The following is a 24,868-nucleotide window of genomic DNA, read 5'->3' on the forward strand; positions in this document are numbered from 1 at the left end:
TGCCTGTAGTGCCAGCTACTTGGGAGGCTGAGGCAGGAGAATGGCGTGAACCCAGGAGGCAGAGGTTGCAGTGAGCTGAGATCGCGCCACTGCACTCCATCCTGGGGGACAGAGCGAGACTCCGTCTCAAAAAAAAAAAAACTTCCTGGTGTTGGAGGTATTGGTATAATCATTGTAATAGGAATAAAAATTCTGTTCACTACAAAGGCAATAAACGAAGATTTATATCCAGCTTCCCTCCTTTACACCTTTTTTTTTTTTTGGAGACGGAATTTCTGTCTTGTTGCCCAAGCTGGAATGCAATGGCACAATCTTGGCTCACCACAGCCTCCACGTCCTGGGCTCAAGCGATTCACCTCTCTCAGCCTCCTGAGTAGCTGGGATTACAGGCATGTGCCACCACACCCAGCTAATTTTGTGTTTTTAGTAGAGACACGGTTTGGTTTCTCCACGTTGGTCAGACTAGTCTCCAACTCCTGACCTCAGGTGATCCACCCACCCTGGCCTTCCAAAGTGCTGGGATTACAGGGGTGAGCCACTGTGCCCAGCACCTTTTTTATTTTTTATTTTTTTTTATTTTTTGAGATAGAGTCTCGCCCTGTCGCCCAGGCTGGAGTGCAGTGGTCCCATCTCGGCTCACCGCAACCTCCGCCTCCCGGGTTCAAGCGATTCTCCTGCTTCAGCCTCCCTAGTAGCTGAGACTACAGGCGCGTGCCCCCACGCCCAGCTAATTTTTGTATTTTTAGTAGAGATGGGGTTTAACTATGTTGGCCAGGCTGGTCTGGAACTCCTGACCTTGTGATCCGACCGCCTCGGCCTCCCAAAGTGCTGGGATTACAGGTGTGAGTCGCCGCGCCCGGCAAAAAAAAAAAAAAAAAAAAAACTTTTCAAGAACAAAGTTGATTGAGGTAGGAAGAAACTAAGGAGACACTGTTCAACAGTATTCTAGGCAGGACCTCGCCTAGAATAGCTGAGATTTCTATTTTCTATGTGAGTTCCCCCAGATGACTGTTTCAAACTCTGTCGCGGGTGTGTGCCAATCCTCTTCCCATACCAACACTGTTACTATCTCTTGGTTTCATCTGCCTAAGCAGGGTTTTGGATGGCAGGAGGATGGGGGTGGGGGAAGCAAGGGAAGAACTGGAAGGAAGTGTGACTTTGCGCTATATGTGAGAATTCGCCTTTTTAGGGAAGACCCCTCAAAATCAAGAGACTTATCTGTCAGCCTCCAGATTAATAGCAGGCGAATTAGAAAGGGGGAGTCTTGAGGCTGGGGAGGAAGGAGTGAACTGATTAGGGGTGTATGCAAATTTAGGATCCCGCTTCAGCTCCCAGGAGGAGGGGCTGTCTGCAGCCTTTTCTCCAAAGGATCTCAGATTTATTTATTTTTTTGCTGTTTGTTTTTTTTTTTTTTTTTTTGGTGGGTATTGGTGCTGGAGAAGAGAGGTCCGGTGGGGAAAGAATCCCGGCCCTGGAGATTATATATCCGCCTTCGCATCAGCGGAGCAGGGACGCTGGGAGCGCGCGCGGCCCGCCGGCTAGTCAGTCCCCTGACCCGGAACCGCACTGGTGCCGCCGCTAGCCGGCTGCCCACGTGCCTGCAACAGTGGCCACGTGGGGCCCTGAGGAAACGCCTTTACAAAGGTTTGTCCCCTGCGCTGCCCAGTAGGGAGGAAAACCGGAGGAGAGCGCAGGAGGAAACAGTACCGGCTGGAGGCCGGTCTTGCAGGAGCGGGGGACTGCTGGGGGCGGGGCTTGGTGGTGACCGCTGGCGGGGCGGGGCCTGGGGCTCAGAGGGGTGGGCTTTGGAGATCAGAGGGTCGACGCTGCTTCGTTGCCTGGACTCTGGTTTCCGCCCTGGAGCAAGCCGGGGCCTGGTCGGCAGCTGGGCCGCCATGGAGTCCACGCTGGGCGCGGGCATCGTGATAGCCGAGGCGCTACAGAACCAGCTAGCCTGGCTGGAGAACGTGTGGCTCTGGATCACCTTTCTGGGCGATCCCAAGATCCTCTTTCTGTTCTACTTCCCCGCGGCCTACTACGCCTCCCGCCGTGTGGGCATCGCGGTGCTCTGGATCAGCCTCATCACCGAGTGGCTCAACCTCATCTTCAAGTGGTGAGACAGAGAAGCCCTCCGGCATCCTGGTCCCCACCCCCGAGGGCCCTGAGTCATGTGTAAGCCCTGGTCTCTTTCAGCAACTGTCTCAAGGGCCTTCCCACCCCTACTCTGTAGTCCCTGATTTTTTTTCCCCTTGAGCATCTTTGTGCAGCTTGGACTCAAACCTCAGAGTCCAACCATCCTACTCATTAGACCAGTGTTCTTCAAACTGGTCTGATGGAAAAATCACCTAAGGGGCGTGTCTAAAATGTAAATATCCCATCCTCATCTCACACTTACTAATTTAGAAACTCCAAGGGGTTGGGAATTTATTTTTTATTTTTTATTTTTGGTTTATGGGAATTCATATTTTAACAAATATGGTGATTTAAGTAGTGGAGAGTCCTACCTCTCAACTCACTTTTTCATTCATGTATTCATTCATTTGCTATAATTTTTCAGAAGCATGCTTTGTGCTGGGCATCACGGTAGCTGCTAAGGACAGAGACACCTTGCAGATTAAGGTGTGGTCCCTGGACCATGCCCAACGGCATAGGCAGCACTTGAAAACTGGCTAAAAACGCAGACTCTCAGGCCCCGGGCCAGAGCTACTGAATCAAAATCTGCATTTTAACAAGGTTCCCAGGTGATTCCCTGTGCGTATGCAGTAAAGTTTGGGCTAAAGCACTGCTTTCCAGGGAACACTTTCTCTTCTTTCTCTTTCATTCACCAGTAGACTCTTCACACTGAGACTTAGAAGCCAGGAATCCCAGGGACATGGGTGGAGGCCCTGTGGCCCCTGGGGCTGGGCATGCAGCCACACCTCCCTTCACCTCAGCCTCTGTTGCCAGATCCTCAGCCTGGGGGAAGGAAGGGAGGCTCATAGGAGGTATTTCAATGAGCTGGAATGACTTGCTGAAAAACAACATAGAGTTCCCCTCCCTTCCACTCTTTTCCACGAGGGCCTCATCCTTATGTAAAGGGAACCACAGTGATCTGTTCACTTCTTTCTTGCCTAATTGCCCTTTGCTTTGTGCTCTCCTCTCTCAAAGTCTGTATAAGCCTCCCCCTCTATTCCTTGTCCCCCAAAGATCACAATCTCCTTCAGACACTATTAATGTCCCCCAAGTGGCAAAGTCCCTATTCATTTTCATTTTCTCTTTTTTTTTTTTTTTTTTTTTTGAGACGGAGTCTCGCTCAGTTGCCCAGGCTGGAGTGCAGTGGTGCAATCTTGGCTCACTGCAAACTCCGTCTCCCGGCTTCATGCCATTCTCCTGCCTCAGCCTCCCAAGTAGCTGGGATCACAGGCGTGTGCCACCACACTCGGCTAATTTTTGTATTTTTAGTAGAGAAGGGGTTTCGCCTTGTTGGCCAGGCTGGTCTCAAACTCCTGACCTCAGGTGATCCGCCCGCTTCAGCCTCCCAAAGTGCTGGGATTATAGGCGTGAGCAACCTGGCATTCTTTTTTTTTTTTTTTTTATTCTTTTTGAGATGGAGTCTTGCTCTGTTGCCCAGGCTGGCGTGCAATGGCATGATCTTGGCTCACTGAAACCTCTTTGTCTCTCAGGTTCAAGAGATTCTTCTGCCTCAGCCTCCCCAGTAGCTGTGATTATCGGCACCCACCACCACGCCCGGCTAATTTTTTATTTCTAGTAGAGACAGGGTTTCACCTTGTTGGTCAGGCTGGTCTCAAACTCCTGGCCTCAAGTGATCCACCCTCCTCTGCCTCCCAAAGTGCTGGGATTACAGGCGTGAGCCACCGCGCCTGGCACCGCCGTTCATTTTCTGTGTGAGCACTTGTTGTATATATACTAGGCTCAGTTTTCAGAGGGGAGAGGCAAGTGCCTTCTGTATATCCCTCCCCAGCACGTGGCTTCCTGCCAGCATCTCTTTTGCTATCCCATCTTTTCTCTTTCTGGCCACAGCAGCCTCTTCATTGTGTGGTTCCCAGGGCCCAGCCAAGCACTTGCTAGACCAGAGGATTTTGACATTTTTTTGTCCTCCTTATTCTTTCTCAGCCTTCTCTGTCCATTTCCCACCCCCATTTTCAGACCTGAGAGGCTCACCTAAATAATTTAGGTGTGGATAATTCAGGCTGTAACTGGGGACATGGAGGCAGGGGTAGCAGGAGGGTTAGTGAGGGCCTGGAGGAGAGAGCTGGGTCCTGGACTCTCTGTGGATGATAAGAGCTGGCCTTGCAGTGAGAGGGGGTAGAGTGGGACGGCTGAGTATCTCAGAGCACACACACGGCTTACCACAATCTCTTGCCTCTGTATCAGTTTTATTTTTTATTTTATTCACTTTTTCTTTTTTTGAGACAGGATCTCACTCCATCACCAGGCTGGAGTACAATGGCACAATCACAGCTCACTGCAGCCTCAACCTCCTGGGCTCAAGTGATCCTTCCCACTTCAGCCTCTGGAGTAGCAGGGACTACAGGCACACCCCAAGATGCCTGGCTAATTTTTGTATTTTTTGTAGAGATGGGGTTTTGTCATGTTGCCCAGGCTATTCTCGAACTCCTGGGCTCAAGTGATCTGCCCGCCCAGCCTCCCAAGTAGCTGAGACTATAGGTGTGCACCACCACTTCCAGCTAATTTTTTGTTTTTGTTGAATCTGGGTCTTGCTATGTTGCCCAGGCTGGTCATGAACTCCTGGCTTCAAGTGATCCTCCAGCTAAGGCCTCCCAAAGTACTGGGATTACAGTCATGAGCCACTGTACCTGGCCCCAGACTAGTTTTTAAAAATAGTGTTTCCACAGGCTGAGGGTTAGGAAAAAAAAAAGAAAAGAAATAGTGTGCTTTCTTTCTCCTGTTCTAAGGTAGAAAACCATGGCAAGGTATCCATGGATACCTTGAGAGCAGTGGACAGAATCGTAGTCCCTTTTTGACTTCACCCCTCAGGCCCTCCAGAGTACTCTGTGTCCTGCCCGCCTTGTACCCCCCCTGGCTGTGTGTGCATGTGGAAAGTCATCTTGCATCTGTTCTCTTCCAGGTTTCTTTTTGGAGACAGGCCCTTTTGGTGGGTCCATGAGTCTGGTTACTACAGCCAGGCTCCAGCCCAGGTTCACCAGTTCCCCTCTTCTTGTGAGACTGGTCCAGGTGGGAAGCCTCAAACATTCTCCCTTTCCCAATGTGGTTAGGGTTCGGGTGAACATTTCAGAGTACTTTTCAGCCTGGGTGGCCCAACCAAAGGACCAGCCTCTCAATTACTGGCGCAGAGAACAAAAGAACCCCAGGGAGACCAAGCTGAGTTATGGGAGGAGGGCACTCATGCTATGTACCAGCTGCCCACCTTGTATAGAGGACAGCCAAGAGACACAGATCAGGACAGAAACCTGAGCACAGTGACCTCAAGTGGCAGTAAAAAGGCCTCAGAGCAGAGCGAGTTATGAATCAGTGCTGGGGAAAAGCTCTTCTCAGCCAGGAAAGGCAGCTGTATTATTGAGGCATCACCAGGGGCCCCGGGGTTCTGCCTCCATCTTCTCACCACGAGCTTCTGGATTTGCTGGCAGGCAGCCCTTCTGGACACTGCATGATCACAGGAGCAGCCCTCTGGCCCATAATGACGGCCCTGTCTTCGCAGGTGGCCACTCGGGCCCGCAGGTATACCCTTGGCATTGCCCACCATTGGGAGCAGGGGTGATGGCACCCTGTACCTAATAGACACAGCAGCATGGCAGCCTGGGAGCTGGAGTTTTGGGGACCCTAGGTTGTGTGGTTCAACCATGGAGTACCTGGGTGCTGCAGGAGGCCAAGCTGTGTATGGACACGCTCTGAGCTCCTTGCCTCTCTTCTTTCTAGCCGCTGGGTAAGGGTGATGCCTAGCCTGGCTTATTGCACCTTCCTTTTGGCGGTTGGCTTGTCGCGAATCTTCATCTTAGCACATTTCCCTCACCAGGTGCTGGCTGGCCTAATAACTGGTGAGCAACTGGGGCAACGGGGTGGACTGAGAGGATGCCTTTGGCAGTGGGAGGATCAGTCTAGGATCTTCCCATCGCTCCCAGCTTCTGTAGAGCCCACCCCAGAGGCCCCCCGTTATGTCTCAGTTTATTCTCTTGCCAAGCTGCACTGCAGCTGGGGGTCGGGGTGGGGAGGGTCATATCCCCAGACTCCTTGAAGCTGTTGTCACTCCACTCTCCTAGGCGCTGTCCTGGGCTGGCTGATGACTCCCCGAGTGCCTATGGAGCGGGAGCTAAGCTTCTATGGGTTGACTGCACTGGCCCTCATGCTAGGCACCAGCCTCATCTATTGGACCCTCTTTACACTGGGCCTGGATCTTTCTTGGTAAGTCTCGCTTTGAAGCCTGGGCAGGCTGGGCCCTGTCCTATCTCGCCTGCACCTAGCCTGGTGTGTCTCTGGTTCATTATAGCTAAAAAAGGACACATTACCTATTCACATAGACCCTCACAGGCACAAAACAGAACATGGGAGTGGGCCCCAAGGGCAGATGGCCAAGAGCCAGTGGCCTTCTATGTTCCAGCCTCTCCTGGCAAGAACTCTTCTTCCCCACAGGTCCATCAGCCTAGCCTTCAAGTGGTGTGAGCGGCCTGAGTGGATACACGTGGATAGCCGGCCCTTTGCCTCCCTGAGCCGTGACTCAGGGGCTGCCCTGGGCCTGGGCATTGCCTTGCACTCTCCCTGCTATGCCCAGGTGCGTCGGGCACAGCTGGGAAATGGCCAGAAGATAGCCTGCCTTGTGCTGGCCATGGGGCTGCTGGGCCCCCTGGACTGGCTGGGCCACCCCCCTCAGATCAGCCTCTTCTACATTTTCAATTTCCTCAAGTACACCCTCTGGCCATGCCTAGTCCTGGCCCTCGTGCCCTGGGCAGTGCACATGTTCAGTGCCCAGGAAGCACCGCCCATCCACTCTTCCTGACTTCTTGTGTGCCTCCCTTTCCTTTCCCTCCCACAAAGCCAACACTCTGTGACCACCACACTCCAGGAGGCAGCCCCATCCCCTTCCAGCCCCTAAGTAGGCCCTCCCCTCCCTAAATCTGCTTCCGCACCACCTGGTCTTAGCCCCAAAGATGGGCCTTCTCTCTCCCAGATAAGTTGGTCCTCCCTCTGCCTTTCCTCTCAAGCCCCCAAAGAGCAAAGGCAACAGCAAGACCAGCGGGTTCTTGCAACACTGTGAGGGGCAGCCAGGGCGGCCCCAATAAAGCCCTTGAATACTTTGAGATTCCTTTCTTGCCTATGCGCACATCTCCATGGGCCTTGCCTGTGTGTGCACAAGTGGAACCTTTGCCAGGCTGCTCCAGTAGTCTCTGTGCCATCTCCAGCCCTGTTTCCAGGGGCAGAGAGGCAGGAAAGGAGAGGGCTGTAAACTCAGGTGAGACCTCTCAGCCCTGGGTCCCCTGCCTCATCACTGCCTAGGCCACATGAGAGGTCCCATGAGATGCTGTGACTATATTCGGTATAACCCTGTCTTTTCACTTACAGGACAGATCTTGCGCCCCAACCTCCAGTTTCCTAAATCGGCTTCTAGTCCAGGGGCTGGAGAAAAGAGTAGTGTGTTTGGCTAGGAAGGAGGATGAGAACCTCTACTCCATTTGGGAGCCCAGAGAATAGAGACATTGGCCCCAGAAGGCACTGCCAGAAACAAGTTTATTTACACAAGGACACACAGTGTAACGGGTTACAAAATACTTAACTGAAATCCATATCCAGGGAGACAAAGCAAGGAGTGGGTTTACATGAGAACCAGACCAGCCACAGGGAGAGAGTGGGTAAGGGGCCGGGAGCCTGGGGCTCAGCACAGAGAGGCCTAGTACACTGAGCCTGGCCCCATCCCCATCCCCCAGGAGGATCTAAAACAAACACACAAGCACACTATGAACCGATGGTGCTGGGACTCCTGCCCCTCCCCTGGCTCCCTCAATCCTGCTCAGGCCCCCATAGGATAATAAATATGTAAACAGATTGGTGGGGCCCTGGAGATAGAAGGAGAGAAAGTATATGTGGTACTGGGGAGGAGGAGGAAGGAAGAGTCAGCCCCCTAGGAGCCACTTCCCATCTTTGGTTTCCTACAGGCTGGATGGCATCCCCTGGAAGCCTTGTAGGCCCACAGCCCCTGGCAGGGCTCCTGGGAAAGAGAAGGGACAGCGCCCAGCCCCCTCCTGGTCTTAGCTCCCTTGGGCTGGTGGTCAGCAAAGGGAGCCCAGAAGGTATGGAAGCTCCAGCTGAGAGCCGACTCCTGGATCCCTGGGTTCTGGCCTTACCCCTTCTAGAACCTCCATTCTCACCATCCCCAGGATCCAAAACAAAAGGCCCCAGGAGGGAGGTGAGCCTCTGCCCCTTCTCCCCGCAGCATGCTGGATGGCTGGGAAAATCTGGTCCTGACAGCAGGGGGGCTCTCACCAGCCTGGAGCCCCTCTGCAGGGACCACCTTCTCCCCTTGCCCAGGCTGTGCCAGCAGAGGGGCAGGGAGGCCATCCGAGTAAGGTGGGGAGCAGACCTGGTTCTGTTACTCCTCCTGGCCCCTGAGAACCCAGGAAACCAGTCCTCTCCTTCCCCACACACTTTCACCCTCTCAGCCCCGGGGAAGGGGAAGTAGGCTGTGAGGAGTGTGAGGCAAGACAGCCCTCCTCACAGACTGCAGGCCACAGCTTGGGCACCAGCCTCCCATCAGTGCTGAGACCAAGAGGAAGGAGGAGGAGAGGGGTCTGCAGAGATGGTGAGGACGAAAGAAGGGGAAAGGGTGGAGAATCGCAGGGTGGGTGCCCACCTCCCCTCCACTCTGCATCTTAAAGACAGTAGTGGATCCTCCAGATCCTCCCCTGAGGCTGGAGAAGGGAGGAGAGTGAAATTAAGGCATTTCCCCCCAAATCAGCTGAAACCAAGGCACCGACTTCCCGTTCCCTCCTCACTCGGGGGGCCCCAGAACTGGAGAGTACTGTCTGGGCCCCCGTGCCCACCTTGAGCTGGCCCAGGCTCCAAGGAGGAAAAGGACAGACAGAATGCAGGAAAATGGGGGGAGGGACACATGGGACAGGGCTGGGAAGACACCACCACCCCCTGCAGAGGGAGCAGGCTTCTAGAGCTGAGGTGGAAGCCACAGGGCTGGGGGCCTGAGGCAGCGTAGAGGAGCAGGAGGGGCAAGGCTGAGAGACCCACACGGCACACCTTGTTGAATGTGTGACTTTTTGTTTTTAATAGAAAAAATAAACAAAATCACAATGGTGAAGCCCAGAGGGATGGGGGCCGGGGCGTCACAGGGCAGGCTCCTGCTCCATGGGCTCCTCTGCCGGCCTGTGGGGCAAGCACAGGGGAGGGTATTGAGTGGGGCGCACCAGCAGGGGTGAGGGCAGAGAGGTGGTGCGGGTTGCTGCTTACCTGGGGCTGTGTTCCCGGGCTGCCGCAGCCTGGGCCTGCTCGGCCCCCACCGACAGCAAGGCCATGGCGCTCACAGTCTCGGCCTCCTCGGTCTCACCTGCTTGGGCCTCTCGCAGGGACCGGCCCAGACCAGCGGCGAACTTCTGCACACAGCTCCAGTGTTTGCCTGTGGACGAGAGACAGGCAAGGGGTCAGGGAGGGCAGAGGACACCCACATGAACAGTCCCAGTCCTGGTGCTCCCACAAGCTCCGTGCCCCCTTGGCAGCCTGAGCCCCTCTACGTGTCCTCACGCACTCTGGATCTCGATGACTTTCTCTAGCGTGGCCACTGCGTTGATGTTGGGCTTTTGCTGCAAGACTGCCTCATCCAAGGGCTGCAGCTGGCAGGGGAAAGAAGAGAAGGCTTAGGGTGGGGAGTAGGGTTGCCATGCATACCCCTCTAACTGCCCCACTCAGCCCCAGATATCCCTCACAACAGGGGCAAACATGGCCTTTTTGGACAAACGCATACTCAGAAAGCCTGGCCATTAGCTGTTCCTTAGGACCAAGGAAAAGCTTCCTAAGGGGCTCCCAGTGCTGGCTGACCCCTTGCTGGCCCCTCAGACCTCTGGCCTGCCACCTCCCAGCTCCTTCCCACCCCTTACCTCTACACTGAGCAGAGCCGAGACACAAGCCTCAGAGGCATCACAGATGGCGGTCAAGTCATGGCCTCCCTCCAGGGCCAGCACCACCCGGCCCCCTGCCAGGGTCATCAGCTGCCTGGTCAAGTGGCCAAAACCTTTGAGGATGGGTGAAGGGAGGAAGAAGAAATGGCGAAAGGTAATCAATCAATTCAAGAGCCAGTAAGAGGAGAGAAAAAAGGCCAGGCGCGGTGGCTCACGCCTGTAATCCCAGCACTTTGGGAGGCCAAGGCGGGCAGATCACAAGGTCAGGAGTTCGAGACCAGCCTGACCAACATGGTGAAACCCCGTCTCTACTAAAAATACAATAATTAGCCGGCCATGGTGGCACGCGCCTGTAATCCCAGCTACTTGGGAGGCTGAGGCAGGAGGATGGCATGAACCCAGGAGGCGGAGGTTGCAGTGAGCCGAGATCACGCCATTGCACTCCAGCCTGGGTGACAGAGTGAGACTCCACCTCAAAAAAAAAAAAAAAAAAAAAGAAAGAAAAGGAGAGAAAAAGAAACACAAGAGGTGGGACAAATAGCACAAAATGTGATGGGAGATATAAACCCAAATATATCCATAATAAAATACAGCATCAGTGAACTAAATGCCCTATCACAGTCAAAACATTAACAGACTGGCTGAAGACTCCAATCCAATGACAAGGAGCATCACTGAAACACCAGGGACCAACAAGCCCATCTCTACAGCTCCGGCAGGATACATCCTCTATCCTCTGCTACCCCACTGCCACCTCCTATCCCCTCAAGGCCGGGGTTGGCAGAGGACAAGTTGGGGGAGTTACCAAGATGATTCCAAGTCTAGGCCCTGCCCCCTGCTTTCCCCGTCTGCTGCAATATCAGTCTGTTCCCTGCCCCATGCCTCACTGGACTCGATATCCTCACTGTTTCACTTCCTCCCTCAATCCCCCAGCAGGCTTACATCTGGCGGTGACAGAGTAGCCACCCAGAGGAGACAGATGTCCTTCAACAGCATCAAACCCGGCGGAGACTAGGACCACATCAGGTGAGAACTCGTGGGCAATGGGCATCACCACTGTCCTGCAAAGGGATGGCTCAAGCTGAGCCCGGCAGATGACCAGGCCAGGCCTCGCCCCACTGTTATCCTCCCAGAGACAACCCCCTCTACCCACACTGAACTGAGTGCCTTCTGCCCCTCCCACTGCAGGGCCCAGAGGGGCTCCCACTGACTACCATGGCCCTTTTCAGTCCCTACCTGAAGGCTGTAAGGTACTCCACGTCTCCAATGGGGGGGTCCACACCTCCTGTCCATGCCACGTTCACATTGTACCCCACGCCTGGTCCTCCACCAACCTGGCACCAGAGTTGGGGAGAGGGCTATTCTCACCACCTGGGAGTCCCAAACATTGCCCCTGCCCTCACCCCTGCCTCCAGATCTCACTCCACTGACCTCTGCTCTGCCTGGAGGGGCAGTCAGATCAGTGTGGTCCTCCCACTAGGAGCCCAGACTCCCCAGGTACCAACACCACCATGGGCCTCCGTGGCTCCCCGCCAGGTCCCATTGTGCCACCTCCCAGAGGGGCCAGGAGGGTCTGCATTTACGCCCAGGAGCTGTACCTCTTCAGGAGCCCCAGAGCCTGGAAAGAAGTTCCCGTTGTCATAGCGATGCAGAGAGATGTAGAGCACAGAGGGGTCATTGTAGAACGCCTGCTGGGTGCCATTGCCATGGTGAATGTCCTATGAGGGGAGGTAGAAGCATCGGGAAAATGGCCCGCGCTCTGACCCAATGGTCAAATTCCACCTGTCAGCTGAGCACTGTAGCTCATGCCTGTAATCCTAGCATTTTGGGAGGCTGAGGGCTGGGAGGATCGCTTGAGCCCAGGACTCCACCCTTGGCCACAGGGCATCCATATTCTGTTCACAATGGTATTGCACACCCCACACTTCTCTAACTAGGTCTGAGCCTCTGTGGGGTGGCACTGTGTAGGTGATATTCAAAACCATGGGATAAATGTGGCATATCTCCCTACAGAACCCATTCCACCTCACAGTTTTGGGGAAAACATTAAGGCTAGTAGGGAATTTAAAACAGGCAGATGAGATTCTTTCTTTTTTTTTTTTGAGACCAAGTTTCACTCTTGTTGCCCAGGCTAGAGTGCAGTGGCACGATCTGGGCTCACTGCAACCTCCACCTCCCGGGTTCAAGCGATTCTCCTGCCTCAGCCTCCCGAGTAGCTGGGATTACAGGCGCCCACCACTATGCCCGGCCAATTTTTTTTGTATTTTTAGTAGAGATGGGGTTTCACCATGTTGGCCAGGCTGGTCTCAAACTCCTGACCTCAGGTGATCCACCCACCTCGGCCTCTCAAAGTGCTGGGATTACAGGCATGAGTCACTGTACCCGGCCTTTTTTGTTTTCCTTTTTCTTTTCTTTCTTTTTTTTTTTTTTTTGAGACAGAATCTCACTCTGTCATCGAGGCTGGAGTGCAGTGGCATGATCTTGACTCACTGCAACCTCCACTTCCCAGGTTCAAGGAATTCTCCTGCCTCAGCCTCCCCAATAGGTGGGATTACAGGCTCCCGCCACCACACCTAACTAATTTTTTTGAATTTTCAGTGGAGACAGGGTTTCACCATGTTGGCCATCCTGGTCTCGAACTCCTGACCCCAAGTGATTCACCCACCTTGGCCTCCCAAAATGCTGGGATTACAGGCTTTGAGCCATTGTGCCCAACCACAAGCACGTAAGATTCTGAAGGAGGATCCAACATTTACATGAATTTTTAAGCCAGAATTGGGCTTCCAAGAGATTTTGTCCTTCCTGAGGCTTGGTCCTGGCTACTTCCCCAGCTCACAGAGAGTGGTGTGTGCCTCTGCCTCCACCATTAGGAGCAGGGTTTGGGAAGCACCCATGGTAGCAAGAGCAGAGTGCTGGGGCCAAAAGCCTTGGTCTGAAACCCAGTGCCGACATCCCCAGCTGAGTGGCCTTGGGTAAGTCACGCAACAACACCTTTGTTCACAGAAATGGACATCCTCGTTCTTACTACTCGAGGTGGCCATAAAGTACTCATTGTGTTCCTGGTATACAGTCTGCTCCTAATTGTAGGGGGTGGGAGGAAATATCGGCTACTAGCAATGGCGGCAGCGTCACTACCGTTCAAGGTAGGAAATCCCCTTCGTTGCTTGAAACTGCAACGTGAGGGCCAAGATGGAACAGGAGCTAAATGTCTTTCATAGTTGAGGAGGGAGCCCTGTTGGAATGTGACGTTAGTCATCCGGCAGGAGCCCCAGCGCCCTTCCTTCTGCACCCACACCCAGCACCCGAGGATGAGGACGACTGGGGTGCTTGAAGGTGGGGCTGGGGGAGGAGACTTCCTGAAGGCTGACCCTGGTCCTAGCTCTACCCGCCCCTGCCCAGCCCCACCAGCTCACTGCCTACCCAGTCCACGATGAGGACCTTGCCCACGTTCAACTTCTGCTGTAGGAGTTTTGCGGTGATGGCTACAGAGTTGAAGAAGCAGAATCCCCTGAGGAGGGGAGAAAAGGGCAGGAGGTCAGCCTCAGCATGACGTTTGCAAGAGACAGGAAGGGGCGAGGGCAGAGAATCTAGGGCACTCACATGGCTGTGGATTCCTCGGCGTGGTGTCCTGGGGGCCGGATGATGGCAAATCCATTCTGAAGAGGTGCAGGCAGAGGTGAGGGGCAAGATCCAGGCAGGAAGGCCGTGGAGGGGGTAGCACAGGACAGAAGCACAAGCCAGGCAGGGAAGTGAACACAAACCAGAAAAGCAGATCCATATGTTTAATGCACAATTTTGTTGGGGTTTCTTTGTTTTTTTATGGGTTTTTTTGGAGACAGAGTCTTGCTTTGTCACCCAGGCTGGAGTGCAGTGGCGCGATCATGGCTCACTACAACCTTGGCCTCCCAGGCTCAGACAATCCTTCCACCTCAGTCTCCTGAATAGCTAGGACTACAAGCACACGCCACCACACCTGGTTAATTTTTTGTAGAGACAGCGTTTTACTATGTTGCCCAGGCTGGTCTCGAACTCCTGGGCTCAAGCTATCTGCCCACCTCGGCCTCCCAAAGTGTTGAGATTACAGGTATGAGCCACTGTGCCCAGCCTCAACGGACCATTTTGAATGCCAACCATGAGGCTTGAGCAGGCAGACACTATTTCTGCCTCGAGACACCCACGAGAGCACTGGGCATTAGTGTCTTTTTGTTGGTCCCTCATAACCTGAATTCCCAGCTGGCAACTCCTTCCCACCCTGGTGCCTGAGAGTTGAGCTTGCAAAGGACAGTGCCTCACTGAAAGGATCCCAAGGCTGCCCCTGTCCTCTGCCTCTGAGGAGCAGGGCCATGCCAAGGGGCACCGAGGTCACAAGCACACGCTCACCTTGAGCTCTCCTGCAGCCACCTTGAAGGCCAGCTCCAGCAGGCAGCCCACTGCCATGCGCACAGCACTGGAGGAGTGCATCTCATTCCACACGGTGTCACTGTCCACCTGCAGGGCAGGAGAGCAGGTTTCAGTGTGCCCCCTGCAGGGCAAGAACAGGGGAGGGCACCTGGACAGTGGGCCAGCGGCTGTGGTAGGCAGGGAAGAGACAGACCTAGGAGAGCCGCCCGCCCACCCCCACTGCTGTACGCCCTACTCACCCCGATGCCCCCACAAGGCAGCACAGCATACATCTTCTGGCTGATGGGGCCTGCATGGAAGAGGAATAGAGCTACTCTAGAAGTGGCCTCGGGCGGATCACCTGAGGTCAGGAGTTCGAGACCAGCCTGGACAACATGATGAAACCCCATCTCTACTAAAAATACAAAACTTAGCTGGGCGTGGTGGCACACACCTGTAAACCCAGCTACTCAATAGGCTCAGGCAAGAGAGTTGCTTGAGCCTGGGGAGACAGAGGTCGCAGTGAGCTGAGATCGCACCACTGTACTCCAGCCTGGCCAACAGAGCAAGACTGTCTCAAAAAAAAAAAAGGCACCTCAACTGCCACAGGGCTACAGGCTTAGCCACCAAAAATGAGGGCTCAGACCCAAGTACAAGACAGGCCTCTGCAGCCCACACCAGTTGGAAGCTGTCAGTCCTCTGTCCTTGGGGACGTCTTACCTCTGGGGGCAGGTGGCAGGGAGAGAGGAGCATGATAAGCCGTGGAGGAGGGGAACAAAGCAGTCCCCCCAACCGAGCACTTCCATCCTCCTGCACCGCGCCCCACAGCATGCTCTATTTTAGTGGCGCCCTCTGGAGGTGTGTGACGTGATAATTGTGCCACCTCTGCCGCAGCAATGCCCTATGCCCGTGGGGACAACCCTCCTAGCCTGGTCAGGCAGTCTTCCTGAGAGCCCCCATCCCACCCTGACACTGAACATGCCTGCCCGCCCACCCATGTGCCAGCTCACCGAGCAACTTCTTGCTGTCTAGCTTCTGCCGGTTGAGGGGACTGGTCCCATAGAGCAGGGTGTGGTATTCAGAGTGCACTGTCTGGATCTCATCTAGCGTGGCTTTGCGACCTCGGATCCGCTGCCAGGAGGATCAGTAAGAGGGGTCACACAAAGGCACAGCTCTCTCAGAGCCTCTCTGCCCCATAGCCAGGGCACACAGAGCCACTTCCTGGCCTCAGGAGATCCAAATATTTTCAGAAAGTAGATCCTGGCTCTGTCATGACCTTACTCCCGGATCCCCCCCACTCAGCTGGGGACCATGGGGGAAAACAGGCTGCAAGGGATGGAACGGGGTGGTGGGAGAACTGGCCCCGAAGTCTGGGGCTGAAGAGAGGATGAGGAAGAAGCATGAAGAGAGGCTTATCTAACAGGGAAACAAAGGCTGGATTTAAGTTGAGAGCCAGAAGAAGGAGGGGCTCCCTTACCTCGCACTTGCTAAGCAGGCCTGTCTCCTGCAGCCGGGACCAGATGCTCTGGATCCGGCCAGCATGCTCAGGGTGCACGTGTGTGTTCCCGCACATGCACTGGTGCTTTAGCATGAACGTGTCGTAGACCACACCTGGGCCACAGACCTATGTGTCAGCCAGCACTGCTCTGGGCCCAGGATCCCAGCCTGGCTACCATGATCCTCAGCAGGGCTCATGGAGCTGTCTCCAACCCCCAGGTCCAAACACCTCCCCATGGCCACTGCAGCCACCCTGCCACAAACCTGCCCCCTCTCCTCTCCAGCTTTTTTTTTTTTTTCTTTGAAACAGGGTCTCACTCTGTCACCCAGGCTGGAGTGGAGTGTGTAGTGGTGCTATCATGGCTCACTGCAGCCTCAACCACTGCCCCCACCACCCTGGGCTCAAGCGATCCTCCCACCTCAGCGTTCTGAGTAGCTGGGACTATAGGCACTACCACACCTAGCTTTTCTTTTGTTTTTTTTTGAGACAGAGTCTCGCTCTGTCGGCCAGGTCCAGTGGCACGATCTCGGCTCACTGCAACCTCTGCCTCCTGGGCTCAAGCAATTCTCCTGCCTCAGCCTCCCGAGTAGCTGGGATTACAGGCATGTGCCACCACGCCTGGCTAATTTTTGTATTTTTAGTAGAGACGGGGTTTTACCATGTTGGCCAGGCTGGTCTCGAACTCCTGACCTCAGGTAATCCACCCACCTCAGCCTCCTAAAGTGCTGGGATTACAGGCGTGAGCCACTGCACCCAACCTATTTTTTTATTTTTTATTTTAAAGAGACGGGGTCTCACTATGTTGCTCACGTTGGTCTCAAACTCCTGGGCTCAAGTGATCCTCCCACCTTGGCCTCCCAAAATGCTGGGATTACAGGTGTGAGCCACTGCACCTGGCCTTTCCTCTCCAGCCTTTGCCCCCTCTTGACTCCTCCTGAAATTCCTTTGCTCCATTATTGCCTATCAGAAGCTTCCCTGCTCCTCAAGCCCCAGCAAGGCTGCCCTGGACACTCGCATGAGTCTCATCTCTGCCAGCTGTGCCTCCTCAGCTGCACCCTTCTCACGGCACCTCCTGCTTTCCCCCTCCTGCCAAACCCGTGTCTTACTCTCCACGGGTGATACAGGGCCACCCTCAGGCACGTCTGTGTCCCCCCAGAGCCCAGCCTGTGGCAGCTTCATAGGGAAGAGGACTCTGGTCTCATCCCAGACCTCACAGGGAGAAGGAAGGGAAGGTAGAAGGTCAGGGCCCAACAGGGACAGCAGGCTCTCTCTACCCAGCACTTCAGGCTGTGGGGCAGTCCTTCCTTCAGCGGGGTGAGAAAGACGCTACCCACTCTCCCGGCTGAGGCAGAAGGCCCTGCCGCTACCATGAACAGCTCTGGGGTACAGGGAGAGAACGAAGGCCTGTGTCCCCTCCTTTCAGGGTGCCTAAGGGGCCCCAGCAGCCTCTTCCCCCTGCCATGGGGCAGACACCACACACAGGCCCTCTGGTGCCTGGCAGAAGGACCTAACAGTTGGTGGGGGCTCACCTGTGGTGAAGAGGTGCTTGACGGGCTGGTCTGGGGGGCTCTTCATGCCCCCAGGGGCAGCAGGGGAGGACTGGGTACGGCCCAGGGCCTGGTGGGGCACAGTGGCCAGGCTGAGGGGCGCCTGGTACACCTGCAAAGGCTGCAGCGGCTGGGCATCTGAGAACAGCTGGAGGGGAGAATGGGAGGGGGCCTGGGTCAGACTCAGCCAGGACAGGGGTGAGGGCAGGCCCTGTCAGGGCCTCCAGTGGGGCCCCAATCCAGCCCTTTTCTTCCAAGTCTCCTTCCCCCACCTCCTCCCACTTGCTCCCTCCAGGGACAGGAGACACATCTCCTCTGAGATGGGGAGGGATGGGGGAGATGTGATGAGTCACATCAAAGAGTAGCATTGAGGTAAGAGGCTGGGAGGGGTGGGGGCGGGGGCGGGGTGGGGGCGGGATGAGTCAGGCCCGGAGGGCTCGGCTGTGTCCGCAATGAATGGAGTGCCAGCTAGGCGCGAGGCAGACAGTAGTAACAGCGGGGGCGTGTGTGTACACACACGCACAGGCACGCACAGGGACCGACGCATGCATACACAGACACACAAGCAGAGAGGCAGGCCAGTATCACAGACACAGGGAGGGAACTGGCAGCCTAGGACAGACACAACTCTGAGATCAACACAAACAGCTCCCCCTTCTCCCCACCGGCCTCCTTCCCACTCCCCTTTTGCTCTCTACAGAAAGCTGCTCCTGCACAGCCTGGAAACTGCAGATGGGGGAGAGGGAAAGACAAGGGCAGAGGCAGGGGTGGAGAAGGACAGAGGGGTGGTGACCAAGGACTGGGACCAGGGACGGGGCTCACTTTTTTGTATCCAGCACCAGGCTCCTCCAAGTCGGGCCCCTCCTCAGCACCACTCTCGCCCTCCTCGTCCTTAACCTGGATGCAATCCTCCTCCTCCTCCCCATCGTCTTCCTCGTCCTCCTCCTCCAGGTCTTCCTGTGTGCTCTCACTCTCTGTGGAGCCCTCCCGGGGCATGGTCAGGGCTCCCTCCCCCAGCAAGACCTCCTGCTGCTCCGTCAGCTCCTCCTCTGTCTCCTCAGGGTGGGTGGTGGGCTGCCTGGGCAGCTCCCCTGTCTTGGTGAGGATCTGATAACAGAATATGGGGGCACATCAGCTGGGAGTTGGGGAGCAGCTGTGCAGCCTAAAACCCAGAACAGTCTATCCTTCCCTCCCTCCCTTCTTCCAGGTAGAGCTTCTATGTGAATTAGAAAAAGGTGAGGTAGCTCCTCTGAGAGGACTTTTTTTTTTTTTGAGACAGAGTCTCCCTCTGTCGCCCAGCCTGGCATGCAGTGGCACGATCTCGGCTCACTGCAACCTCCGCCTTCCAAATTCAAGCGATTCTCCTGCCTCAGCCTCCCCAGTGACTGGGGTTACAGGCGCACGCCACCACGCCCAGCTAATTTTTGTTTGTTTTTTTGAGACGGTCTCGCTCTTCTCACCCAGGCTGCAGTGCAATGGTGCGATCTGGGCTCAGTGCAACCTCCATCTCCCAGGTTCAAGCAATTCTCCTGCCTCAGCCTCCCGAGTAGCTGGGATTATTATAGGTGCCTACCACCACGCCTGGCTAATTTTTGTATTTTTAGTAGAGACGGGGGTTTCACCATGTTGGCCAGGCTGGTCTCGAACTCCTGACCTCAGGCGATCTGCCCACCTCGGCCTCCCAATCAGGCGCGAGCCACCGTGTCTGGCCTGAAAGGAGGACTTTTCTGCCAGCCTGGTACTCTCCTGTGTCCTGCCCCCACCACAGCCCCAGGCCATTCACCTTTCCAGGCTCACCTTGCCCAGCTGTAGCTGCTGCTGCTTCTGCTTCTCCAGGAACTGCTGGTGCTGTTGTTGCATGACCAGCTGCTGCAGGGCCTGGGGACTCTGCGGCAGCGGTGAGGACTGAGTGCGGCTCAGGGGCCGATGCCGCGGGAGCTTGCCTACCGTCCGCATGCTGGTGGCCACACGTTCACCCGTCACTAGTGGGGACTGCCCGTGGAGTGGCACTACGGAGTTGGGGGTGATGACTAAGCACCATTGTCAGGGCACCTGACTGCCCTCCCACCGACCCTGCATCTTGCCCCCACAACCCCCTCTGGCATATCACCACCTATATACTCAGGAAAAACCCTGGGGGACCTGAAGCACCCCCCACCCAAACCTGAGCTCCATTCTTCCTCTTCCCCATGAATGAAGAGTTTCACAGCTCTAAGGTACCACCTCCAGCAAGCCTTCCTGGATTCACCATCTTTTCCCTTCGATTTCCTTAACTGAATAAACTGAGTATACATTTAGTCTTGAGCCCTCTGAACGAACAATGACTTTTCTCCCTAAGTGCAACAAGGCCTCCCTGATCATGGATCCTCCCCGTGGATCCCGCCAGGCTAGGAAGCCCTAGGGCCAGGATCATGTATCTTTCAAGCAGAACCTCTTCTGGTGCCAGGGCTCTTTAGACAGCCCTGGTACTTAAGGGCTGTCTAAAGTTGTGCTGTCTAGTCCCATAGCTACTAGTTACATGTGACTGCTGAGCCCTTGCACACAACCTGTCTAAACTGAAATGTGATATAAGTGTGAAGTATACACTAGATTTCAAAGAGTATGAAACAAAAACCAAAATATCTCATTGGTAACTGCATATTGGCCAGGCACAGTGGCTCACACCTGTAATCCCAGCACTTTGGGAGTCCAAGGCAGGGGGATGGCTTGAGCCCAGGAGTTCAAGACCAACCTGGGCAGCTGGGTGCGGTGGCTCACACCCGTAATCCCAGCGCTTTGGGAGGCCAAGGCAGGTGGATCACTTGAGGTCAGGAGTTCAAGACCAACTTGGCCAACATGGTGAAACCCCGTCTCTACTAAAAATACAAAAATTAGGCCAGGCGCAGTGGCTCACGCCTGTAATTCCAACACTTTGGGAGGCCAAGGCGGGTGGACCATCTGAGGTCAGGAGTTCAAGACCAGCCTGGCCAACGTGGTGAAACTTCTTCTCTAATAAAAATACAAAAAATTAAGCCAGGCATGGTGGCACATGCCTGTAATCCCAGCTACTTGGGAGGCTTAGGCAGGAGAATCACTTGAACTCGAGAGGCAGAGGTTGCAGTGAGCCGAGATCTTGCCACTGCACTCCAGCCTGGGCAACAAGAGTGAAACTTCGTCTCAAAAAAAAAAAAAAAAAAAAAAAAAAATTAGCTGGGTGTGGTGGCACACGCCTGTAGTCTTAACTACTCAGGAGGCTGAAGCAAAAGAACCGCTTGAAGCTTGAACCCAGGAGGTGGAGGGTGCAGTGAGCAGAGATCCTGCTTACTGCACTCCAGCCTGGGCAACAAAGTGAGATTCTGTCTCAAAAAAAAAAAAAAAAAAAGGATGAGCATGGCGGCTCACACCTGTAATCCCAGCACTTTGGGAGGCCGAGGCGAACGGATCACCTGAGGTCAGGAGTTCAAGACCAGCCTGGCCAAGATGGTGAAACCCCAGCTCTATTAAAAATACAAAAATTAGCCAGGCGCGGTGGCAGGCGCCTATAATCCCAACTACTTGGGAGGCTGAGGCAGGAGAATTGCTTGAACCCGGGAGGCAGAGGTTGCAGTGAGCCAAGATCACGCCACTGCACTCTAGCTTGGGCAACAGAGCGAGACTCAGTCTCGAAAAAAAGACCAGCCTGGGTAACATAGCAAGATCCTGTCTCTACAAAAATTAAAAAATAGAAAGAATAACTGCATATGTATTACCGAAATTGTAATATTCTGGATATAATGAGTTAAATATATGTGGTGAAATTAATTCCACTTGCTTCTCTTTTTTTTGAGACAGAGTGTCGCTCTGTTGCCCAGGCTTGGGTGCAATGGAGCGATCTCGGCTCACTGCAACCTCCGCCTCCTGGGTTCAAGCAATTTTCCTGCCTCAGCCTCCCGAGTAGCTGGGATTACAGGTGCCCGCCACCACGCCCAGCTAATTTTTGTATTTTTAGTAGAGATGGGATTTCACCATGTTGGCCAGGCTGGTCTCAAGCTCCTGACCTCAAGTGATCCACCTGCCTTGGCCTCCAAAGTGCCGGGCTCACAGGCTTGAGCCACCATGTGTGGCTCCACTTGCTTCTTTTAATTTTTTTATTTTTTTGAGACGGAGTCTCACGCTCTGTGCCCCAGGCTGGAGTGCAGTGGCACGATCTCGGCTCACTGCAAGCTCCGCCTCCCAGGTTCACACTGTTCTCCTGCCTCAGCCTCCTGAGTAGCTGGGACTACAGGTGCCCACCACCACGCCCGGCTAATTTTTTGTATTTTTAGTAGAGACGGGGTTTCACCATGTTAGCCAGAATGGTCTCAATCTCCTGACCTCGTGATCCACCCGCCTCAGCCTCCCAAAGTGCTGGGATTTCAGGCGTGATCCACCGCGCCCGGCCTTCTTTTTACATTTTTTAATGTGGATGCTAGAAATTACGTATGTAGATTGTGTTATGTTTCTACTGAACAACACTGCTCTGGGATGTGAACGCCAAGATGGCAGCAGATTTTGTCAAGAACAGTGCCTGGCATCCTGTAGGTATCCCATGTTTCCAGAATGTGGAAGAAATCACTGATGCTGTTGATTCTGCTAAGGGGAACTGTGACAGGGTTGGAGAGTATCCCTGACAGTTGGTCCTGACCTTAGCCCCCTCCCTTGCACAGCTACCTGTCCACTCACCAGCAATGAGGGTGCTCTGCTGCCGGGCCTGCTCCAGCAACAGCACATGCTGCAGCAGGGAGGCATGCCCGTGGGGGCTCCCGTCGCCCTCCAGTGCCACGCCCAGCAGGCAGCCAGGAATAGAGGATGTGCTCATGAACTTGCCGGTCAGCGTGCCACCCTGCCGCAGGGACTGGAGGGCCTGCCTCTCGGCCTCCTGCTGTGTCGACAGCTTCGGGGAGGCCTGGGGGGTGAAGGGAGGGGCTTATACAGCCTCAGTCCTGCCAACTTTGGACTAGCATCCCCATCTACCCACTATCTACCCCCCAAGCTCTGGGTAGGGCCAACAGATCTCCCTTAGGGCCTTGGAAGGGGAAAACCCCAGCTGGGGGCATGCAGGACCTGTGACCTCAACACCAGAGGGAAGATGGGGTATATGCCCTGTACTTACAGTGAGGTGTGAGTTGGTGACAGTGACCGTGGCCTGCAGCCCTAGGGAGATGTTGGGCAGAGAAGGAGACGTGTAGAGGCTGAACTGGTTGGGGGAGCTGTCCAGAGGGAGGGCTCGGTGCTGAGGGAGCATCTGGGGAGCAGTCAGAAGAGACAGGCATGAGAGTGCACAAAGGGGAGGCAACAAGGGAGGGCAACCTGGGGCCAAGGCCAAGGTCTCTGAATGGTGCCCAGTTCCCTCTACCCTGAGCTCCCACTGAGGGAGACTGAGCCATCAGGGCTCTTCATAGTCCTGTGGGACAAATTCCCCTTCAATGCAATTAAGTCCAAGCAAGGATCCTCCAGCCTATTCATGTGGGCAGAGAGGTCTCTGCTGGGCACTCAGGCAGACAGACTGGAAGGAGCTGCACTCTTTCTTCCATGGGAAGGAGCAACTCTGTCCCCGCCCCACCAGCCCCCAGCCAGGCCTGTACCTCAGTGGGGATGTTGGGGACTGAGCCAGTAAAGCCATTCTCAGCGATGGTGCTGTGGGAGCTGTTGGGAGAGCTGGGGCCGGAGCCGGGTGCGCTGTTACACACGGACGACGCTATAGGAGAAGTGGCTGTCACCTGGGCCTGCTGTGAACTACCCCCGACCCCTGATTCCCAGACCCTCAGAACAGGTACATGAGAGCAGCCCTTACCCCCAGGCCCGGCACCTGTGATCTCAACAGCTCTCTTCTTAAAGGTGCTAATAACAGTCCCATCCTTGCGACGCAGGAGGGGACTGCTTCTCCGCTCAGCCACCTTCTGTTTTAGCCTTGAACGCACTTTCAAGTTGGGTTCAGAGGCTGGAGAGAAGGTAACCGAGGTTCAGATACGCGCACAGCAGCACACATCTGCAGCTGAGCCCACTGGGGTCAGGGCTGACACTGCCACAAGCCCACCTCTGCCTCCCAGGAGCCATATTCTGGGAGGCCAGGTGGGGGACTCACTCACCTGTTTTGCGGAGGGGGAAGTCGTCTCGACTGTCGTAGGGCCCAGGCAAAGGCAGTTTGTAGGAGGGAGGCGTCCCAGGGGGGCCGCTCTGGGGAGGGGAACTCTGGTCCAAAGAAGCATGGTGGGCTCCCCTGGGGTGGGGGGGGGGTGGGGATGGAAGCAGATCTAGGTTATCACCCAGTCTGCTGGACCTGCCACCTGGCAATCTACATTTATGAAAAATCGTTTGTATATAGGAAGAGGACGTGGATCTTGGGGAAGGAATGAGGAAATAAACCAGGGATGGGGGTCCTGTCTCTAAGGAGAGATTGCAGGGCCCGTATATGGGCACGGGGAAGAAGCCCCTTGCCATCCTATAGCCAGGCAGCCCCTGAGCGGCTCACCTATGCCCACCCATGCCTGCCCAGGGCCATTACCAGCATTTGGGGTGCTGTGGGAGGGAATGGTTGAGGCCGCCTGGTGTGGGCTCCTTTGACTTCGACAAGAGGAATTCCTGGAGCCTCAGCTTTACCTCAGTGCTGGCAATGGCACCTGCAGGACAGGGCACAACTGACCTGGCTGCTTGGGGCCAGACCCCCCATGGCAGGGGCAGGCATCACGGGCGGGGCCCTACGAGGTCCCAGGAGGCCCTGCCTTACTCTCTTTGCTCTTCTCCTTGTTCCGCAGGATGAGCAGCTGCTGCTCCAGCCGCTGCTTCTCCAGCTCTTCCTGCCGCTGCTGCTCCCGCTGCCGCTGCTGCTCCAGCTCCTGCTGCCGCTTGGCTGCCAGCATCTCCTGCTGCTGCTTGGCTGCCAGCATCTCCTGCTGCTGCTGCAGGGGCATGGGAACGGAGGCACAAGTGAGCCAGGCCCGGGCGGGGATCGGAGGTCTGGGCGGCCCCCCGCACCCCCCTCGCTCACCTTGAGGTGCTTCTGCAGCTGGACCTCATGCTGCCTTGTCAGGTGGTCATGCTGTTTCTGGAACTCAGCGAACAGGAGCTGCTTCTGCAGCTGCTGCTGCTGCTTGAGCGCCAGGAGCTCCTGCTGCAGTTGCTGCTCCCGCAGTGTGGGGTCCACAGAGCCCACCAGAGCCCCCCGTAGCTCCACAGGGCTGGGGCTGCCTCCACCCCCACCCCCCATGGAACTGGGCATGGCTCTTGGCAGCACCGGCTTCACCTCCACTGTGGGCAGAAGAGACAGGAAGGAGTTAGTGGGCCCAGCCCCAGACTCCAGTCATGCCTGAGGCCCAAAGGCTACCACGCAGGATTCTAGGAGACCCAAAGAG

At 55.4% G+C, this 24,868-nt stretch overlaps 2 protein-coding genes across 22 annotated transcripts in view, besides 9 other annotated features; one reads left to right on the forward strand and one right to left on the reverse strand.

Annotated features, from left to right (window-relative positions):
* Nucleotides 80-1,007: an enhancer, noted in NCBI's record as "H3K27ac-H3K4me1 hESC enhancer chr17:42146518-42147445 (GRCh37/hg19 assembly coordinates)". NCBI's record gives its function as "activates a minimal SCP1, AML or CMV promoter by ChIP-STARR-seq in naive H9 embryonic stem cells {active_cell/tissue: H9 hESC(naive)}" and the evidence as "EXISTENCE:reporter gene assay evidence [ECO:0000049][PMID:30033119]".
* Nucleotides 1,008-1,934: an enhancer, noted in NCBI's record as "H3K27ac-H3K4me1 hESC enhancer chr17:42147446-42148372 (GRCh37/hg19 assembly coordinates)". NCBI's record gives its function as "activates a minimal SCP1, AML or CMV promoter by ChIP-STARR-seq in primed H9 embryonic stem cells {active_cell/tissue: H9 hESC(primed)}" and the evidence as "EXISTENCE:reporter gene assay evidence [ECO:0000049][PMID:30033119]".
* Nucleotides 1,603-7,274, forward strand: G6PC3 (glucose-6-phosphatase catalytic subunit 3). Of its 7 annotated transcripts, none has more exons than NM_001384168.1 (7): nt 1,603-1,644; nt 2,558-2,741; nt 5,090-5,196; nt 5,610-5,700; nt 5,899-6,017; nt 6,240-6,381; nt 6,610-7,274. In NM_001384168.1, the coding sequence occupies exons 4-7, from the start codon at nt 5,630-5,632 to the stop codon at nt 6,971-6,973; spliced, it is 696 nt and encodes a 231-aa protein (NP_001371097.1). In that variant the 5' UTR covers nt 1,603-1,644; nt 2,558-2,741; nt 5,090-5,196; nt 5,610-5,629; the 3' UTR covers nt 6,974-7,274. The 7 variants fall into 7 exon arrangements, with proteins under 7 accessions (NP_001371097.1, XP_011523776.1, NP_001371095.1 ...); XM_011525474.4 differs by lacking the exon at nt 1,603-1,644 and adding an exon at nt 1,665-2,172; NM_001384166.1 differs by lacking the exon at nt 1,603-1,644 and adding an exon at nt 1,665-2,113 and having other exon boundaries at nt 2,558-2,751.
* Nucleotides 1,952-2,191: an enhancer, noted in NCBI's record as "active region_12250". NCBI's record gives its function as "activates an Ori minimal core promoter by ATAC-STARR-seq in GM12878 lymphoblastoid cells {active_cell/tissue: GM12878}" and the evidence as "EXISTENCE:reporter gene assay evidence [ECO:0000049][PMID:35858748]".
* Nucleotides 2,312-2,361: an enhancer, noted in NCBI's record as "active region_12251". NCBI's record gives its function as "activates an Ori minimal core promoter by ATAC-STARR-seq in GM12878 lymphoblastoid cells {active_cell/tissue: GM12878}" and the evidence as "EXISTENCE:reporter gene assay evidence [ECO:0000049][PMID:35858748]".
* Nucleotides 2,862-3,787: an enhancer, noted in NCBI's record as "H3K27ac hESC enhancer chr17:42149300-42150225 (GRCh37/hg19 assembly coordinates)". NCBI's record gives its function as "activates a minimal SCP1, AML or CMV promoter by ChIP-STARR-seq in naive H9 embryonic stem cells {active_cell/tissue: H9 hESC(naive)}" and the evidence as "EXISTENCE:reporter gene assay evidence [ECO:0000049][PMID:30033119]".
* Nucleotides 6,204-6,938: an enhancer, noted in NCBI's record as "H3K4me1 hESC enhancer chr17:42152642-42153376 (GRCh37/hg19 assembly coordinates)". NCBI's record gives its function as "activates a minimal SCP1, AML or CMV promoter by ChIP-STARR-seq in naive H9 embryonic stem cells {active_cell/tissue: H9 hESC(naive)}" and the evidence as "EXISTENCE:reporter gene assay evidence [ECO:0000049][PMID:30033119]".
* The window catches only part of HDAC5 (histone deacetylase 5), a 46,889-nt gene continuing 29,703 nt past the window's right edge, over nt 7,683-24,868 (reverse strand). For 7 of the 15 annotated variants that reach the window (NM_005474.5, NM_001015053.2, NM_001382393.1 and 4 more), the window contains 24 exons: nt 24,505-24,764; nt 24,244-24,415; nt 24,022-24,136; nt 23,606-23,736; nt 23,311-23,457; nt 23,102-23,214; nt 22,630-22,761; nt 22,200-22,422; nt 19,317-19,528; nt 18,342-18,626; nt 17,502-17,667; nt 15,952-16,085; nt 15,485-15,605; nt 14,735-14,784; nt 14,475-14,582; nt 13,695-13,750; nt 13,515-13,602; nt 11,693-11,812; nt 11,331-11,428; nt 11,037-11,155; nt 10,074-10,207; nt 9,725-9,809; nt 9,430-9,595; nt 7,683-9,345 (listed from right to left, as the gene is read on the reverse strand). In NM_005474.5, the coding sequence (NP_005465.2) occupies nt 9,306-9,345; nt 9,430-9,595; nt 9,725-9,809; nt 10,074-10,207; nt 11,037-11,155; nt 11,331-11,428; nt 11,693-11,812; nt 13,515-13,602; nt 13,695-13,750; nt 14,475-14,582; nt 14,735-14,784; nt 15,485-15,605; nt 15,952-16,085; nt 17,502-17,667; nt 18,342-18,626; nt 19,317-19,528; nt 22,200-22,422; nt 22,630-22,761; nt 23,102-23,214; nt 23,311-23,457; nt 23,606-23,736; nt 24,022-24,136; nt 24,244-24,415; nt 24,505-24,764 (3,275 nt within the window). In that variant the 3' untranslated portion in view covers nt 7,683-9,305. Of the gene's footprint in view, nt 9,346-9,429; nt 9,596-9,724; nt 9,810-10,073; nt 10,208-11,036; nt 11,156-11,330; nt 11,429-11,692; nt 11,813-13,514; nt 13,603-13,694; nt 13,751-14,474; nt 14,583-14,734; nt 14,785-15,484; nt 15,606-15,951; nt 16,086-17,501; nt 17,668-18,341; nt 18,627-19,316; nt 19,529-22,199; nt 22,423-22,629; nt 22,762-23,101; nt 23,215-23,310; nt 23,458-23,605; nt 23,737-24,021; nt 24,137-24,243; nt 24,416-24,504; nt 24,765-24,868 lie in introns of those variants that run through there. The other 8 variants (XM_047435050.1, XM_047435048.1, XM_047435051.1 and 5 more) reach the window with 4 other exon arrangements.
* Nucleotides 7,956-8,495: an enhancer, noted in NCBI's record as "H3K4me1 hESC enhancer chr17:42154394-42154933 (GRCh37/hg19 assembly coordinates)". NCBI's record gives its function as "activates a minimal SCP1, AML or CMV promoter by ChIP-STARR-seq in naive H9 embryonic stem cells {active_cell/tissue: H9 hESC(naive)}" and the evidence as "EXISTENCE:reporter gene assay evidence [ECO:0000049][PMID:30033119]".
* Nucleotides 13,058-14,257: an enhancer, noted in NCBI's record as "BRD4-independent group 4 enhancer chr17:42159496-42160695 (GRCh37/hg19 assembly coordinates)". NCBI's record gives its function as "activates an origin of replication core promoter dependent on BRD2, P300/CBP, MED14 and CDK7 cofactors, and independent of BRD4, by STARR-seq in HCT116 cells {active_cell/tissue: HCT116}" and the evidence as "EXISTENCE:reporter gene assay evidence [ECO:0000049][PMID:35650434]".
* Nucleotides 23,311-23,816: an enhancer, noted in NCBI's record as "H3K4me1 hESC enhancer chr17:42169749-42170254 (GRCh37/hg19 assembly coordinates)". NCBI's record gives its function as "activates a minimal SCP1, AML or CMV promoter by ChIP-STARR-seq in primed H9 embryonic stem cells {active_cell/tissue: H9 hESC(primed)}" and the evidence as "EXISTENCE:reporter gene assay evidence [ECO:0000049][PMID:30033119]".

The sequence above is a fragment of the Homo sapiens genome, chromosome 17 (genome assembly GCF_000001405.40).
Source record: "Homo sapiens chromosome 17, GRCh38.p14 Primary Assembly".
NCBI classification, from domain to species: Eukaryota; Metazoa; Chordata; class Mammalia; order Primates; family Hominidae; genus Homo; species Homo sapiens.